The 17,807-nt window shown below is 37.0% G+C and overlaps 1 protein-coding gene across 6 annotated transcripts in view, besides 1 other annotated feature; it reads right to left on the bottom strand.

The window, feature by feature from the left end:
* The window catches only part of MET (MET proto-oncogene, receptor tyrosine kinase), a 126,182-nt gene that overhangs the window by 92,131 nt on the left and 16,244 nt on the right, over nt 1–17,807 (bottom strand). For 3 of the 6 annotated variants that reach the window (NM_001127500.3, NM_000245.4, NM_001324401.3), the window contains exon 2: nt 5,963–7,176. The exons of 1 other annotated variant lie outside the window; for it this stretch is intronic. In NM_001127500.3, coding sequence (NP_001120972.1) covers nt 5,963–7,162 — 1,200 coding nt within the window. In that variant the 5' untranslated portion in view covers nt 7,163–7,176. Of the gene's footprint in view, nt 1–5,962; nt 7,177–10,447; nt 10,498–17,807 lie in introns of all 6 variants that reach the window. 2 more of the 6 variants (XM_011516223.2, XM_047420400.1) reach the window with 1 other exon arrangement.
* Nucleotides 759–1,486: an enhancer blocking element, noted in NCBI's record as "conserved region 5 (CR5) negative regulatory element (NRE) in the greater CFTR locus". NCBI's record gives its function as "strongly blocks activation of a gamma-globin promoter by the HS2 beta-globin enhancer when located between the enhancer and promoter in the forward orientation in transfected K562 cells {active_cell/tissue: K562}" and the evidence as "EXISTENCE:reporter gene assay evidence [ECO:0000049][PMID:18436892]".

The following is a 17,807-nucleotide window of genomic DNA, read 5'->3' as shown; positions in this document are numbered from 1 at the left end:
TAATGTCAAATTAATTTAAAATGCATGCGGCATAGTTAACGCTTCATTCCCCACACAAGTGAGAGATATTATCAATCATATCATGAATTAATATAACCCACGGGTAAAACCTACCCACAGTTTTGGTGACAGCTTCAGCACTGTGTTCTCTTGCTATTAGGTTATAAAAACATCATGCCTTTGCTTTTTCATCTTTCCTGGGGTAGAGAGACTTGTGAATGAGCCATGTAATGGTTTAAAGAGCAGTCAGCAAGAGGAAGGGAAAAAGCAAAAGGAATTAAAGGTTCATTTTGTAACATGTTTTCTAACACCCCAAGGGTGTGCCCAGTGATCTCAGGGGGCGTTACAAAATTCTGGAAAGAAACTAATTTTAAATTTCTTTTAATAAAATAATGCAATATGCCACTTTTCGTGGAATGAGTAGCATGGATAATTAAAATAAAGAAGTTAGGAAGCAGTGACTCCCTGAGCCTATGAGAGGATGAAGTAGTGTCTAGGAAAGAAAAAGAAATGAAATGTAAAATTAATAACCTTTTACTTACATTTTTTAAAAAGTACATTGAATCTTTATACCTCAAGGATTTTCTTTCTTGCAAGATTTTGCTTTGGTAGCTATTACATTTGGCATATGGCCAAGATATTTAATATTTAGGTTTGAAAGGCTGTCTAATATTAAGAATGAAGAATCCTTAACAACATTTTTCATATTGGATAACATTTTCTCATTTTTGAGCACAATAAGTAAAAAACTCTATAATCTGGCTTCACATTTTTCATCCCTAATACAAAATACATTCTCTTGAGAGTGCTAGATTGTTGGAATAAGGCATGCCAAACCAGTATAATCACATGGATGTTATTTGTAACATTGACTCCACATTCACAGTTCAAGTGGTGTGGGAGATTATAGATATATGGCCTATAAAAGTTATAAATCTTTGTTTATTTTATTAAATATTACGAGACATGCCCTGAGGATGACAGATCAATAACGGTCCTTGTGGTTTCCTGATGGAAGGCTGCAATTATTTTCTTCCATTACAACTTAAATGTAACTCGATTTTACTCATCTATCATCTTTATAATCATAATAAAGAAACATCACTGTATGTTTATTTTTCTGCCTATTCCTATTATTCCTTGTTTGCATCTTGTTTTGATTTTTGTCCTCCTTTAAAATTGTTCTAATCACTTTGCTTTCTTCCTTTGATGGCTCTGAGTAGTGACTCTTTAACTTTGGCATTCTGTGAAACGGAGATGGAAAATTACTACCTTAAGTTTCCTTTATTTTGGGAAGCAGTTGGCTACTCTTTGAATTTGAGTATAAATGATATTTAAAAACAAGGAAGCCCAATACAAACAACCTATGAGGTTGACTTTTTCTAAAACTGCATTATCTGCAAATTCTTGAATGCAAGATATGACAAAGTACATAAGAGTAATATCTTAGGTCATGGATAGTTAGGATTGAAAGTGAGAGGAAGGAGAACAATTTATACCTTCTAACTTGACTATAGTACAGTTTTGATTCAATTGTCTTTCTCCCCATCCTCTGCCCCCTCAAACTACCACCACTCCTCACCCCATCTCTTTTTTGGAACTATTATAATCTTAAGAACAACATAACACAAATTAACCATTATGGAGGTAGGTCACTCATAACAGTTAGAGAGGGAAGTGAAAGACTTGTAAACAATAGAACCAGAATGTGCCTCTTCCAGAGAATAATCCAATCATTTGAATTTGTCTTTCTTTACGCAAGTATTCCTTACAATAATAGCTGCTATTTATTTTGTGCCAAGGACCAAGTTGGGACCTTTTACAGATGTTATTAATATACTTGTCCACACTATAGTCCTGCACGCAGGACGATGGGTTCAGAGTTTAAATAATGCTTTCATGGCCATCCAGGTAGAAGACGGTGGGGTTCAGATTTGAACCAACATCTCTGATTTTAGTCTCTTTCCATTAGTCCATGCTGTCTCCCAACGGGCTAAATTTATAGTCATCTTGTGCCAGGTACCTCATATATATTATCCCAAATTTTCACAAAAACCTGTGAAGTAGGTATTGTTATCTGCATGATACCAATGAGACTCAGCCTCCAAGAAGTCAGGTAATGTGGCAGAAGTCACATGGTTGGTATGCAGTAAACCAGGACTTCCACCCAGGTGTGTCTGGCACCAAATGCTTTTCCCCTTCACTTGATCCAACTTTGGTCATTAAGGTCATCAAGATGTTGGCGAAAATACTTGCTACAGGTCTTTCAAATGCTTATCTATAGAGCAAAACTTTGATAATAGAACTTCAAGAAAAACAGTGTTGTGTGCTAATTGTATTTTCTGAGAGGCGAGAGCTATTTCAAGAATGCTTTTCTAATTTCAACTTTGATTAAAATTTTTTCTAAAATGTACGATTTCACTTGTTTTAATAAATATTCTATAACTTAGGGAACAGGATCTTTGCTGATTTGGGGATTTAAAAAATTCTCTTATTCTGTATTGATTCTCATTTGTAGGAGATTGGGCCAATGTGTACTGATTCTCCTTTTTTTCCTGAAATTGTCACATTAATCAATCCCTTATATGTAAAAGACTGTTAGAGATTCCACAGTCTTAAAATTAAATTCCACTTAATTTTAAACAAGTTAATGAAATTTTTGCTACTGCTTATCCTCAAATAGAGATGAGGGTTTTTTCTCCCTACATATGGGCCTTTACAAAGGTTCCATCCATATTATGGGACAATTTTCTCAATTATTTTATTTTGAATAATAATATGCTATTTAGAGAATATGCATTAGCCTAAAACAACTTCAATCAATACTAATTTAGGATGCTTATAGAGGTTGATTGATGAATGGGTAAAGGAGGAGGTAAAGATATTAAACAGATTTAGTAATTATTTGTGGGTGTATAATCTCATAGTACTCAATATTGGAAGTCACTGTAAACAAATTCTTTAGAATCACTTTCAAAAGCAACATAAAAAATGGACACATTGTGAGGATCAAGAATATATTCTTATAGAACAACTGACATAGTCAACAACACTGGTATTCTATAAGTGGGCATTTGTGGCTTGGGATAAGTTTCCAGAAACAGCATCATATGTGGAGACAAAGAGTTCTGAAGCACAAATAGCTTATGGGTGAAGATGACGAGTACTGGGAATTATCAAATGACTCAAAAGAGGGCTTTTGTGATGTCATCAATATGAGAAGATGCATGTGAAGAGTTTGCATAGACATATTTCATGAAATGTGAGACTGGGAAAAGCAACAAAATATGTGATCCTAAACAAGCAAGTCAGGCCTGGTACACCTGCTGGACCCCTAAAATGTAAAAGGCCCGTCCCTGGCACTCCCATTATCTGATCTTGTGATAGAAACACTTTTTGCACATGGTGGAGAGCTCTTGGAGTGCCAGGAAATCCCTCTTTCAGCAATGTGTCAACACTGAGGACTGGGCAGAAGCATAAGTAGAAAGTTACTGCTGCAGCTCAGCTTTCTTAACCTTGTCCACAAGAGTCCCTTTATAAATGTATTAGAGATGTTAATAACAAAACTACAATATGTGTGTCTTTTCACCAAACTTGATGCCAAAGTAAAAACTCAGTTCCAAGAAATTATTAAAAGGGTCACTTGATTTCTGGCCAAGTAAATCTGCCAAGACAAAATGGAGTCATCTTATTGCTTGAGAGTCCTGCTAAACAGCTTTGATCTTGTAATCATTTTGTTTTTTTTGTGTGTGATGAATGGCTCTAGGTGCCTTCATTTTGGCATTAAGCTAGGAAATGATTATATGCTCATTATTGGAACAATCTGAGGTCTGGATGGGGTATATGGAGAGAGAGAATATGTGTAGTCTCAGTCTCAGAAGAATTTTGATCTTTGTAACCAGAGAAGATAAACAGGCAAATAAATAGAGGAGGTTTGAAGGTATTTGTCTATGGAATTTGGCCAGTGTAAAAGTTGGCTTCCTTTGTAAGAAGACTATGTTGGCAAGTTCCATCTTGTTTCCCGCAAGAATTTTTGTGATGGGAGTGATAATGGTTTCAGGTGTGGCTAGTGCATTTTGGGAATTTTTCCTGGGCGATAAAACTGACCTGAATTTCATTGGCTAATCCTGTCTGTTTGTCTCCCTTGGAACACTAAAAAAGTCAAAAGGGTAGGATAAAATTCAGATGTGTTTTGAGAATTTCTAGAATTGATAAGTATTTTTACATCTAAGGATTGAAATGTACAAAATTTAAAAAATGAGATATCAATATACCTTTATGAATTCTCTTTTTAATTTTTTTCTTGCCCTACCCTTCTTTTTAATTTTTAACAAAGAAAGATTTAAATAGCAAATCCATGTGCTCTAGGAGCCCTGGAGGAATTCCTAATAGACTCTTTTAAAACTTGTGTCTCAGAATCAACTTACTGGATGCAGAAAAATATCTTCTCTGTAATGCTATTAATATTATATTTTTATTTCCTAATCCCAGGTTTCTGAAAATCATTTTGTTTCCTTTCATTCTTTTGTAGTTTCTAGTAAAGAAAAGGGGGAGCTTCATAAGGAATTCTATTGCTTCTTTGCAACATATATTAAATGTATGTAGGGGGAAATAAGTCTTAGTTGGAATGTATGTGCATTTATGTTATGTATATTCATAGACTTTGGAAGAGAGAGGAAGGAAGTTTTGTTTTTAGTTCACCAAAAGATGAACTGACTTTCTTGGAAGTATTTTCCTAGCATCATAAAAAGTTAACTATAGTTTCCATCTAGAGAAGTGTCCCAGACATTTCAGCAAAAGTCAACCAAATGTCTCTGAATTCATATGCCTTTACCCCTCAGCAAATTATATACTTTATGCTACTGAGGACATGTTTAATGTTCTACCTGATTGCAATTATAACCTTTATATCTTAGATTGAAACCTGTTAAAGTAAGTGAAACATACCATGCCAAAGTCAAACTGTCTTTAGAAAAGCTATACTATTTGTTCATTCAATGATGGTCATAGTCAGGTCCGTATTCCAAATCTGGCCCAGATCAAGAAACTCAAAGCCACAATAAACACTCAGACCAGGTGATCAACTGACTAGCAGGATAAATCTCCAGGTATAGCTGGTAGCTGTTACTATATTTAAATCACAGCACCAAGAATATCTCTAACAGCTCCTAAGAAAATACCATTTCATATAAGTATAAATAATCATCAACCAAAATATTTATGCTTATAAATAACAAATACCAACCAGGTAAAGTGCCAAGCTAGAACTTGGTAGACACAAGTCTTTTCCAGAAGGAAGTCCATGATTAAAGTCAAGCTCTAAAGGAAGGACTTGGGAACAAACATTTCCTCTCTACTCTTACAGGTTATTTAGAGAAGTATACGAGCTCATTTAAAAATGTTTTATTTACCAGCATTTCAGAAGAGGTTTTTTAAAGTTAAGTTCCTTTAAGTAATGTCAAGAATATAGATTAATCAGTTGTGTATCAGTGAGAGAATATAATCTCATAAGGAACAATTCTTTAAGGCATACAAATTAGCTTGAACATCTTGTAAATGTTGCAGAGATTATATAGAAATGTCAATAATTATGTTTTATGGGAATTGCTGCTGTGATAAAAATCTGTGTAAATCTGATAAAATCTGTGTAAATCTGATAAAATCTGTGTAAATATAAAAAAGCTTATATGGGAAATAACTTTAATATAATCTGAAATGTCACGAACATGCAAATCTGAATTGTAAAAACATTTTTCTTTTAGTTACCATTTACATTTTAAAGATATAATTTTAGGTGTAAATGAAGATTCAATTCCTCAATTTTCTTGGAAAAAATCTGCAACTATTTTGGATAAACACCATTTACAAAGCACAAAAGAAGCCCTGGATATTCTTTTTGAGACTGATACTTATTTCTAATTTATACCTCACAGTTTATAAGTGGGGAACTGATGTGACTTACCCTATTAAAGCAGTGCTCATGATTGGGTCCGTAAAAATGCTGGAGACATCTCACATTGTTTTTGTTGACGATCTTGTTGAAGAAGTCGTTGACATATTTGATAGGGAATGCACACATGGCAGATCGATCCATTGGTTCGGCAGAATCTGGCTTGCTTTGTGCGAACACCCCGAAAAGAATGTCATCATTCAGGCTGGCTCCTATTTGTCTAGCAAGCTGGGCCCCAGGCTTGCTGACATACGCAGCCTGAAGTATATTAAACACTTCCTTCTTTGTGGATCTCTTTTTTCTCTTTTCTGTGAGAATACACTCCAGAGGCATTTCCATGTAGGAATGCAATCCAGAGTTTATGGAACAGAACCTGATTATTCTTGTGTGAAAAGTCTGAGCATCTAGAGTTTCCCTTTGGACCGTCAAGAAGTAAATAAAATTGTTGCTTTCAAAGGCATGGACATACTTAATGGGGTAAGAATCTCTGAACTCAGGTAAAACATCAATGTAGGACTGGTCCGTCAAAAACATAAAACCATCTTTCGTTTCCTTTAGCCTTCTCACTGATATCGAATGCAATGGATGATCTGGGAAATAAGAAGAATTTATGGTATTGCCTACAAAGAAGTTGATGAACCGGTCCTTTACAGATGAAAGGACTTTGGCTCCCAGGGCGCTCACCACACAGTCAGGACACTGGCTGGGCTCTTCTATCTGTGGGGAGAATATGCAGTGAACCTCCGACTGTATGTCAGCAGTATGATTGTGGGGAAAGACATGTCGCTGGCAGGTCCCTCTGTTGACGCTGCCACAGCTAATGAGTTGATCATCATAGTAGGTGTCGACAACTAGAGCCATGTTGATGTTATCTTTCCAAACACCTCCTGATAAATTGGCTTTGCTGCTGCAGTCCTGACATGGGAAACAATCTGGGTGTTCCAGCACAGGCCCAGTCTTGTACTCAGCAACCTTCTGAAGGTCTTCCTCATTTAAAACATAAATGTAGTTAGTGGCACCAAGGAAAATGTGATGCTCATGTAGAATGACATTCTGGATGGGTGTTTCCGCGGTGAAGTTGGGAAGCTGATACTTCATATTCACATTCATCTCGGACTTTGCTAGTGCCTCTTTACACTCCCCATTGCTCCTCTGCACCAAGGTAAACAGGAGCACGAGGATGCCAGGTGCAAGCACAGCGGGGGCCTTCATTATGAGAGGTTTATCTGCCAAAACAGGTTCAAGGCGAGAGCAGTTCAGTTGTCAGAAATGAAGAGAAAACTGAAAGACCTATACCATTTAATCTATCAGAAATAAAGCTTCCCAACTGGACTTTTACATAGAAGGAAAACAAAAACTCTAGCAAGTTTCACATAAAGATGCATTGTGCGGTTGGACATGACTCCACATAGTTTAATTTTAGAACTCAAGCCATGAACGAATAATTTTAGAGAACCATTGAGATGCAAACAATGTTCTGTATTAAGGTTGATACAGTAACTAAGTTAGACTCATTCAGCAATGAAAGAAAAAACATAGCAACTTTCTTTCTTAACCCCTTGCTGGTTGTTTAACGTGGTTTAATAACTGTGGTTAATGACTAGGTTGATATTTAAACTTTCTCTGTTAGTCAAGTAAAGGAACTGTGGTTCACATTCATTTATTCTAGAAATCACAGCAGGCATTGTTTTCTTGAGCGCATGTAGAATTACTAGGCTAAATTTAGCTTCCTTTTGGAAGAAAACAATCATAAATTCTAGAAGCAATATGATCACATGCTGTTTATAGGATTTTGTGTGGAGAGGAATGGTATGGTTATAATTTGGCTATAGTTAACCTATTGTTTTAGACAGACAAATGTTTAATGTAAGATCACTGGGAACTGAAAAACAGGAGGCTGAAAATGTATAAAATACAACATAATCTTCAGAACTAAAGTCCTAGAACTACTTCTCAGGGAAAAACAACATATTGTTCATTACCAAGTCAAAAAGCTATTTAGTAAAAAGAACATTATTTTAACATTTCATTGTATGCATATAGACAGTATTTCTATGAGGAAACATGAATGGGCCTGTTATTCAGTATTTAAAACTTAAGGTGCACAAGTTATAAACATTGTGAGTTCTCCTTATAATAGTTATAGGCAGGGTAGTAGGTTGGAAAGGAGAGGCCTTAGAATGAATATAAACTAAATAGGTATGACTTTTTTTTAAATAGCATAATTCTGATAGGACAAAGGGAGCCTCTAAAAACATACTAGGCATCATGACTGCCAAAGACTAACCCTGGATCTACAAAAACCACATCAGAAATCACTGAGCAGCTGGTATGTGCAGGGCACTGTGCTTGCGCTATGAGAAATGGGACATAGCCCCTGCCCTTCAGTGAAGCTGCAATGTGGCTGAGTGATAACACATATATGCTGATTATTGTGGCACTGCAAATGGTATTACAATACCCTGCATAGCACAAACCAAAAGCTACAAGTATCAAGGGAAAAAAGCACAGCCTGTACTTAGGATTATTATGATCATGAGCAATAGAGACAAGTTCACCATGTTGTGAGGTCCAGGAGAGCAAGGACAAGGTCTGCTTGGCTCATCATTGTATCCCAAGTACCTAGTACAGAGCCTGAGATGCAGAAGGTGTTAAACAAATAGATACTGAATAAATGATGAATAAAAATTAAGCCGAAATTCGAAGTTACATAATGGTTAAGTGTAGTAGCCAAAATTTGCGTCCAAAATTTTTTGACTCCAAATCAAAAATAATTTTACCCTACTAATAGTCTAAGAATTGGGGACTTTAAGAGGTGATTAATAATCATTAAGGAATTTTGAGCTAGACCGTCATACAATGAAGGTTTTACTCTAGGAAGATTGATCTGGAGGCAGGGTGGCTTAGAACAGAGAGATCCTGGCAATGGAAAGACCAGTTGACAGGCTATTTTTATATCCCATAATGAGGTAACAAGAGCCAGAACAAATATGGTAGCACCAAGGATAGAAGGAATGAATAAGGGACATATTTGAATAAGTAGGATTTGATACCCTAATATATCAAACACAGTGCAAAAAAGAAAGCAAAGACAAACAAAGATGATTAGCAGTTATCTGGAAAAAGTAGAACAAGTTATAAAACTAGGGTAGACTGCACTGGGAAGTTAGGCTGAATATATGGGAATGGTAGATTGGTTTTAACCACGTTGAGTCGGGTGTGCTGCTGGGAAATGAGTGCATATTCTCCTATAAGGATGACTAGCAGGTTTTACATTATTCACCAGGAAGCAGGTGCCTGGAACAAGTGAAGAATGAAAACTCTGGGCAGACAGAGCATTAGTGCCAAAGAACAGAGGCGGAAATGAGAAGGATTCTGAGAAGCCTGCCTTGACTGGGAAAGCGGCATGATCAGTCTTGGGTGAAACAGTATCTGTCTTGAGTGAGACACATGAGTGTCAGGTATTTGCCACTGCTGCACTAGAAGGAATAAAAATTTAGAACTTGATTGGCAGAGTAACAGAGACTCCACTCCGACTAGAAATAAACTTTGCACATTATCTGCACAGAGGTGATGGTTAAAACCAGGAATGGGTGTGTTCATGAATGGACTAGATGAAAGAAGAGAAGGCAAATGGCCTAAATCTTAGGGGATACCCACAGTTGAGAAATCTATGCAGGAGTCAAGGAAGGTTAAGGTCAGTGAGGCATCAAGAGAGCAAATATTGCACTGTGTCACAAAAGCCAAGTGAGGGTCTCAAGGAGGACGTTGGTCCACATGGAACCCGTTTGTTGATCTTCAAGGCAGTAGTTTCTATAGTAGTATCAGATGTTAAATTGAGGGAATGGGTGATGAAGAAGTAGAATGTTTATCAAAGGGAAGACAAGCAAAAAGTAGTAACAGGGTGAAAAGGAGTTTAAATTGTGGGAAAGACATATGATTATTGGCAGGACCCCCCTTTCTTCTACTAACATTTATTGGATGTCTACAAAGACATGATGCCCTTCCCTGGGAAGCTCAAGTCACTTGATGGTTAACAGTTATCAGAATGCAGAGGAAGGGAGACCAACTCGACTGGAAATGATGCTAGAGCCGAGTCTCAAAGGAGGATAAAGAATGAAAATTCCTGGCTGAGCGCGGTGGTTCATGCCTGTAATCCTAGCACTTTGGGAGGCTGAGGTGGGCAGATCACTTGAGGTCAGGAGTTTGAACCCAGGCTGACCAACACTGTGAACCCCCATCTCTACTACAAAAAAATTAGCTGGGTGTGGTGACAGGTGCCTGTAATCCTAGCTACTTGGGAGGCTGAGGCAGGAGAATTGCTTGAACTTGGGAAGCGGAGGTTGTAGTGAGCCAAGATCGTGCCACTGGGGGTACAGGTTATGAAGGGATAAGCCAAGCTAGAGAACTGTAGTTGGACCAGAGGACAAGATGAAGCCTCAGTAAGGCAAAGCCATGTAATAATAAAAATAACAAGAACATGTATTGAGTGCTTACCATATGGGAAGCATTCTGCTAAACTCTTTGATTTACTCTTCATCACCACCCTGTGAAGAAGGAAGTATTATTATCCTTCTCTTCTAGATAAGCAAACTTGCTAAAATCACACAGTTAGAACCAAGATTCAATTCCACGTCTGGCTAACAAGAACCCATCCATGCTCTTAAGTGCTTCACTATGCCGAAGCAGCTTCCAAAGCGAGGTGGGAGCATGCACTAGAACAGAAGTCAGACAATCAGCCCTCTGATTCTAGCCCTTTCCCTCTCTAGCTGTGTGACTCCAGGCAATCACCCACCTCTGAGTCCCAGGGTCAGATATTCTCACGTGACCATTTTAAGGATCAAAAAGAGATCTCATCTCTGAAAGCACTTTGATCAATATAGAGTATATATAAATGCTTGCTATTTTATCTGTAATTCTCATTGTTTTGCAATGTACTAGCAAATTTTTGGTGCTGGTAGAGGGAATAACAAGGGATAGAAGAAAAGGATTAGGGACAATTTGTTGTACTAGAGGGCAAATACAAACTGTAAACCAAACTGCAAATATGTATCTAAACCATCTAGAGCACAATGGGAAAAATAAATATTATGTGAAAAGTTAACTGCACTTATCAATATGGTATCAGTGTATCTAACAAAATTGAGCTTAATATATAATTTATTGCTGTATTTTCTGTAGAAATTATAATGAAAGAAAGGAAACGAATTATTATTGCCAAAAGGGAGAAAAATATTGTAACCAATTTGCATGTTAGTTGATGTCCATTAATGCAGTGTGAAGTGTGAATGACATTTTTTCTTCTAGGCTTTTTGAAGGAGCCTTCAAAATAATCTGTAATCCTAGCACTTTGGGAGGCAGAGGTGGGTGGATCACGTGGTCAGGAGATCACAACCATCCTGGCCAATATGGTGAAACCCCGTCTCTACTAAAAGTACAAAAATTAGCTGGGTGTGGTGGCGCATGCCTGTAATCCCAGCTACTTGGGAGGCTGAGGCAGGAGAATCTCTTGAACCAGGGAATTGGAGGTTGCAGTGAGTTGAGATTGCGCCACTGCACTCCAGCCTGATGACAGAGCGAGACTCCATCTAAAAAAAATAAAAACAAAAACAAAAAAATTAGAGATATTATATTAAATTATGTTTTTAAAATAAGATTCATATCTTAAGGTTCGCACATAAGTCACACACTGTACTAAATCTCAGTGGACAAGAATCCAAGAAAATGTACACATGTAGAAATAGGCTTTTTGTTACTTCATTTGATGAAATGGAAAATCAGTGGGGAAGAAGAATATATTTTCTATTTAAAGAAAAACCCTCACAGAACACAGTTGGAGTTAGTACCTTAATCTCCTACACCTTCTTTACATTATCTGTTACCATATGGTGATGCCATTTTTCAAGTGAATACATCAAAAAAAGGTTAACTTTTTTAATTAAAGAAAAAAATGGGACTAGGGCCTATTGTCAGCAACAGAAATTTTAATTAAACTAGAGGTTTCTGTTTAAACCTCAGATAATGAGAAAATGTAATCACCAAAAACGCCCCATTTCCTTGATCATTCCCATTAATAAAGGCCCTTCCCCATTAACAAAGGTGTGTGTTGGTCAGATCAGATCTTTTCTGGGAAACGTTTTGTGTCCTTCCTAAGGAAAGGAGGGAGACCTTTTAGAAGTATTTGGCGCTGAGCTGGGCACTATGATGATAACTGCTAGTTAAATGAGTGACAACTGAGAGGCCAAGTGCACAGGCACTGGCCAGATTTTAGGGTTTAAATCCAATCACTGTCCATGTTACCTTAGGCAAGTAAGTCTAAGCCTGTATTTTCTCATCTAAAATATGGGCAGGATTATAGTACCTACCTCACTTGTGAGAGTTATTCTAAGGATTCAATAAGTTAATGCATGTAAATCACTAAGAACACTGCCTGGCACATAGCAGGTCAATGCATGTTCTCTATTGTTCGTACATGGCCCCCAACAAACACTTATAAGCATCTAAGTGTCAGATACTGTACAGAGTGCTGAAGATACAAAGATAAATAAAACGCTTTCCAAATGTCAGTGAGATCTCAGGCCAGTAGTGGAGATAGGCAGACTATAGTTTAAACTCAATGTAGAAATGTCTATGGAGGCCCTTAAAGGGGAACTTAACTAGGACAGAAAGTCACGTGGGCTTACCAATCAATCAATCATGGTGCTTTCCTCATAATGCATTCACAATTCTGAGGTCAAACACTGGAGAGGGCCTAGGTTTAGTTGTGGCAGTGCAGCTAATTATTTGTATGACCCAGGCAAGTCACCCAACTCCTCTGAGGTCAACTGCTTTCTTATTTGAAAATTATAATGCTGAACCAGCTGTGTGCTGGCTCATGACAGCCTACTATGTGCATCTCTTCCCAACTTGTGTTTCAGTGACCTCATCTTGGTAGCCTAAAATCAGCCATGGTGGCTGTATTGACACCATAGAAATTGGCAAACACTACAAATCAGGGCTTGTTATTAAAGCCCGCAGAGGGATGGTTATTAAATATTTAATGGCATACTCCTGGGTGGAACTAAAGAACTTCAAAGTGTTTTCCAATTCTAATAATTTTCAACTCTGAGATTGTTCCTCTATGATTACATTTTACACCAATGCCATTGACTTGGCATATTATTGCTTTCACTTCCTCATCTATGTAACTTGCCAGATCTGGCTGTGTGAGCATTTTAATATTTATATTGGTAGTGAAATACTCCAGAAATACTTTCACTTTTCATATATTTTTGTCCTGATATATTTATTCCCCCATGATGTGTCTGGATCAGGCTTTCAATATAGACTGTCTTTTCACTGTTTCTGTTATTTTTGCTTTCTGAAATAGAGCTAGCCATTTAACCAACTTTGAGTTCCCTGCTAAAAGGAACACGTAAAGATGATTCAAACAGACTGACTAATTCATTCTCTTAAAATGTTGTGCACATATCAGGTGAAAGTGAATCATCCATAAAACATTTCTTTATTTCTTTTCAGATGAAAGTTAAGGTAATATCACTGGCAAAACATTTCCTGGGAGTGATCATCTCAATGGCACCTTGGCCACTAAACTATTGATATTTAGGAGTACTTCCTTTAAAGAAGATGGCTGTTATTAATAGTTACAAATACCAGTTCAGCCTACCTTTAAAACCAGCGACTTAATCTGTCCACCATCTGCCCACCTCTGGTTTTCTCATTCAACTAGCTTACATTGGTCTTTTCATTTCCCAGAAATCTAGCGATACATTCAAATCTCTAAGTATTCATTGAGTAATTGTCAACACTATGACTGTCCTCATCATAAAAACATTGCAGAGCCTACAAAAATGTATATTGCATTCAAACACCGATTCCTCAGGAAAAAACCCAACAGAGGCAATAGAATAAGTTTCTTCTTAAGAGAGAGACTTTCTAAACCGTGACATAGGTAATTTTGCTTTCTTTAGGGATTAATTTTCTTAGCTGTCATAATTTATAACTATGTAGATAGCACTTTATAGTAAATAGATATGGTCAGCTCCATCATCTCTTCTAATCATGATTACCTTATAAGGTAAGCATTATCCTGTGTTTCCAGATGACAAAACTGAGGTTCAAAGAGGAGAAAATATTATCTGAAATCTACTAAATGAGCAATTCAGTTCTTCTGAGTGTATTTCTAATTGTTTTAAAATGTATGATCCTTATTTGAATTGTTTTAAATTATTTGCATTTCCTGGAAAAGATTTTTATTCCAAAGGCACAGTATTTTAATAAATACCTCTTTTTACCTTCCCAGAATCCACTGTCTCTTATACCGGCAACTCTTTTGAAAATTCTCCCTCTCCTATCTCCTGGGACTGTCAATCACATGGTCTACATCTTTCAACACAGAATGAGTGTGCAAACCAGGCTGGCCTTTCAACGAACTCTGTTCTCTTGACACGGAGCTTGGTCAGGGTTGAGTATGTGGCCAAAGCAAGGCCAAACAGAATCTCTTTGGAGATTTAATATGGATGCTGGGAGAGGGCCTCTTTCATTCTGACAGCATGAGCACTAAAGATGATGTTAACTTGGGATGTCTGATGCCCATCTTTGCCACTATGTGGAGAAAGCCAGCCTGAGCATGAAACTGACCCAAGAGGCCAGAGAGCCCAGACACGGAGGGAGGCAGGCTCCTGATGTGATTGTCTGAGCATCTGTATCCAGCCATGTCTTAAGCTAAGGCGAGCCAGTAAAATTTCTTCTTTTCTTCCTTATTTCTTTTTTTAAATAAGTTTAAAAATGATTCTTTCATTCCTTGCTCCTGAAAAGGTCCTGAGCTAACAATGTCCAGTAGACAATACTACAAACTTGAGTTTAAACACAAAGTCAAGTGCATAAAACCAACTTTACGTAAAATATTCAAGTAATTGGGACAAAGATGGTCTCTTTATTTACTTGAATAATTACTTTAAATATTTCACTTTGCATTTGAGAACATATCTATTAGTTAAGATTTCTGAGGTGGTATACTAGTATTTTCTTATTATATAATTCTAAAATCTTCTACAATATTTACATAAGATAATCTCAAAATGGAAATAATGGATCTAAGTAAAGAGTTAAGATATAGAAACTGGAAAATATTTCAACATTGCTTTTAAGTGCAAGAAAGGGATTTATGATGATGGAATATGGCTGAGGCCCCATATTAAGGAAATTACAGTCATAAAAATAGCCATGGCTAAATCTCCAGGAAGACTTGCCAGAGTGAAATCTTAGGGAAAAATCTTAGCCCTGTCCACATTTATATTATGTTTATTAACTTTAAAAGTAGGTCTATTAAAATAAAGTTAAGATTCCAATAGAAGATTCCTAATGACATTTAAAATACTGTATTTATAAACACTCACTGTTTATGAAGAATCATATTACATTATATCATATGATATTAATCAAGTATTTGGGAGCACCCATTGCATGCCACGTACTTGACTAGATACTAAGAGTTTCTTCCCTCAAAGAGTGTACAGTCCGTGGATTTGAAGATAACAGGATAAACTCCGAAATCTAAATGTGCAACCTAAATGGAAAAGTGGATAGATCCACTGGGCTGAAAGCAAATTTGTAAACATGCTTAGTTGAATGCTTGATTCTTATGCCTAAAGACTTAACAGTTAGTGTTATGATCATCAAAAGCACCTACATTTACTTTAAAAAGATAAAACAATAGGCCATGTCAAAAATCCCTTCTATCGTAGCCAGACACTACCTTGACAATGGTTTCCAACAGTGAATCGAAGGGACAGGAGGAATCTTCAGAATTTTTCAGTGCATTCAACTGCTCTTTGGTATAATCACATTTAAACAGCCCAAAACATTCTGGAGACAAGGTGGAGTGTAGTGGAGAGAGTGTGGGCTTTAGTGTCAGACAGACTTAGATGGGATGTGAATATGGCCTTTTTCACTGACATGCCTTCTGATTTGAGTGTCAGTTTCTTATATTCAAAACGTGGGGATAATGATATACATCTCATGGGTTGGCCATGAGAGTTGGAGATAAACTGTGAGAAACACTGTCCTTCAGTTATGCAGCACACCCTAGCATTTAATAATAGCTACTATGCTTATTATCCTAACTTGTGTTTTGGCCAGTTTTTGCCTGCCCTCATAAAAAATGAGGAAGTTGGCACAGTCCCTTGGGTGAGACCACTCCAAATACCTGGTGACTGTTTCATCACTTTAGTCCTCTCATCTAAAGTTTAAATAGTGTTATTTCTTCTTTTCCCACCCTTTAGCCATCTTGTGGTTTTCCTCTAACCTCGGTTCAAGTTCTTGAAGCCCTTCGAAAATTGCCCCCCAAGACAGAAGCCACAGTAACAGCCTCCCATACTAGAGAAGTAAAAACAAATAGGAACCAGTATTTTAACTCTTTAAAAAAGAGTTAGCTCAGGCCAGGCACTGTGACTCACGCCAGCAATCCCAGCACTTCAGGAGGCTGAGGCCAGACGATTGCTTGAGTTCAGGAGTTTGAGACCAGCCTGGGCAAACCCCATCTCTACAAAAAATAAAAAAATTAGCCAGGCATGGTGGCATGTGCCTATAGTCCCAGCTACTGTGGAAGCTGAGGTGGGAGAATCACTTGAGCTAGGGAGGTTGAGGCTGCAGTGAACCGTGATCACACCATTGCACTCCAGCCTGGATGACAGAGCCAGACTCTGTCTCAAAAAAAAAAAAAAAAAAAAAAAAAAAGAGTAAGCCCATATCCCAACTGAGATTTAGCAAGTAAAGATATAGGATGCTGAGTTAAATTTGAATTTCAGATAAACAGTGGATAATTTGTTTAGTATAAGCATGTCCCAGGAATGTATTTTATATGACAATCCTAGTCGTCAGCAAATGGGGAAAAATAAGGGAACAATAATCTTTTTTACCCACAAAACTCACATTAAAAAGATTTGGGCCAAATCTATTTATCTGTTGGGGTAGAATGTTTTTAAAGCTTTCTGTGGTATATATGTATTGCAAAACTGCATAGCATTTTTTCATTTGGGTTTGCTTCTGTGCATCTAAAACATGTTTTAAAAGTTCCTGGCAGGTGGTTTTAAGTGTCATATGAAGGTATAACTATATGAAAGGGAGTAAAGAAACTTTTTCCCCTCTATAGTTGTACTGTATGTGGCAGCCTGTCATTTACATGAAATTTCTGAAACAGAAAAGGTATTCCCAGATTGATTTACATGCTTTATTTATAATAAATGAGCTTATTAAAAAATTCAAATACAGGTGGCTATAGGAGATAAACAAGTTAAGCTTTGTACAGGAATGATTTGCATGTGTTATAATTAATGTTTCCAGGGGGTGCTCTAAACGGTTTCTTGATTATTACACAAATGTTGTTTCTTTGACAGATAGTGCTTTTATTCAGATTCTTATCTGTTTTTGCATCCCCTCTTAGTCCTATAATCATTTAAAAAGTTGAAAATGGCTGCCTGTTAGCATAAGAAAAAGCCAATTGTGCATTTTCTAGTTGTAACATATGATTGAGACTATTATCCAACTCTGATATGGCAAGAGTAAAGATAAAAAGAATAGAATGCCATTATATCCTCAAGATTATCCTTTATAAATTCATATTCTGTCAGCAAACATCTTTGTCCTTTTAAGAATGGTTGAAAGTACTCAACTTCTTGGAAAGAAGAATAAATGGACATTTGTTTTTACCATTGTACATAATGTAAAAAATATTGTTCAGAAAATACATTGAACTCTCAGAGCCCTGATTGACAGATGGGCTTTTGTCCCATTAATAAATTGTAGGTCAGACAAAAATGTTTCATTGCCCTTGAAAGTGTGAAGGTTGAACTTCCCC

This window comes from Homo sapiens, chromosome 7 (assembly GCF_000001405.40).
Source record: "Homo sapiens chromosome 7, GRCh38.p14 Primary Assembly".
NCBI lineage: Eukaryota > Metazoa > Chordata > Mammalia > Primates > Hominidae > Homo > Homo sapiens.
Note: the sequence above shows the minus strand (reverse complement) of the source record. Positions and strands in the feature narration are given on the sequence as shown.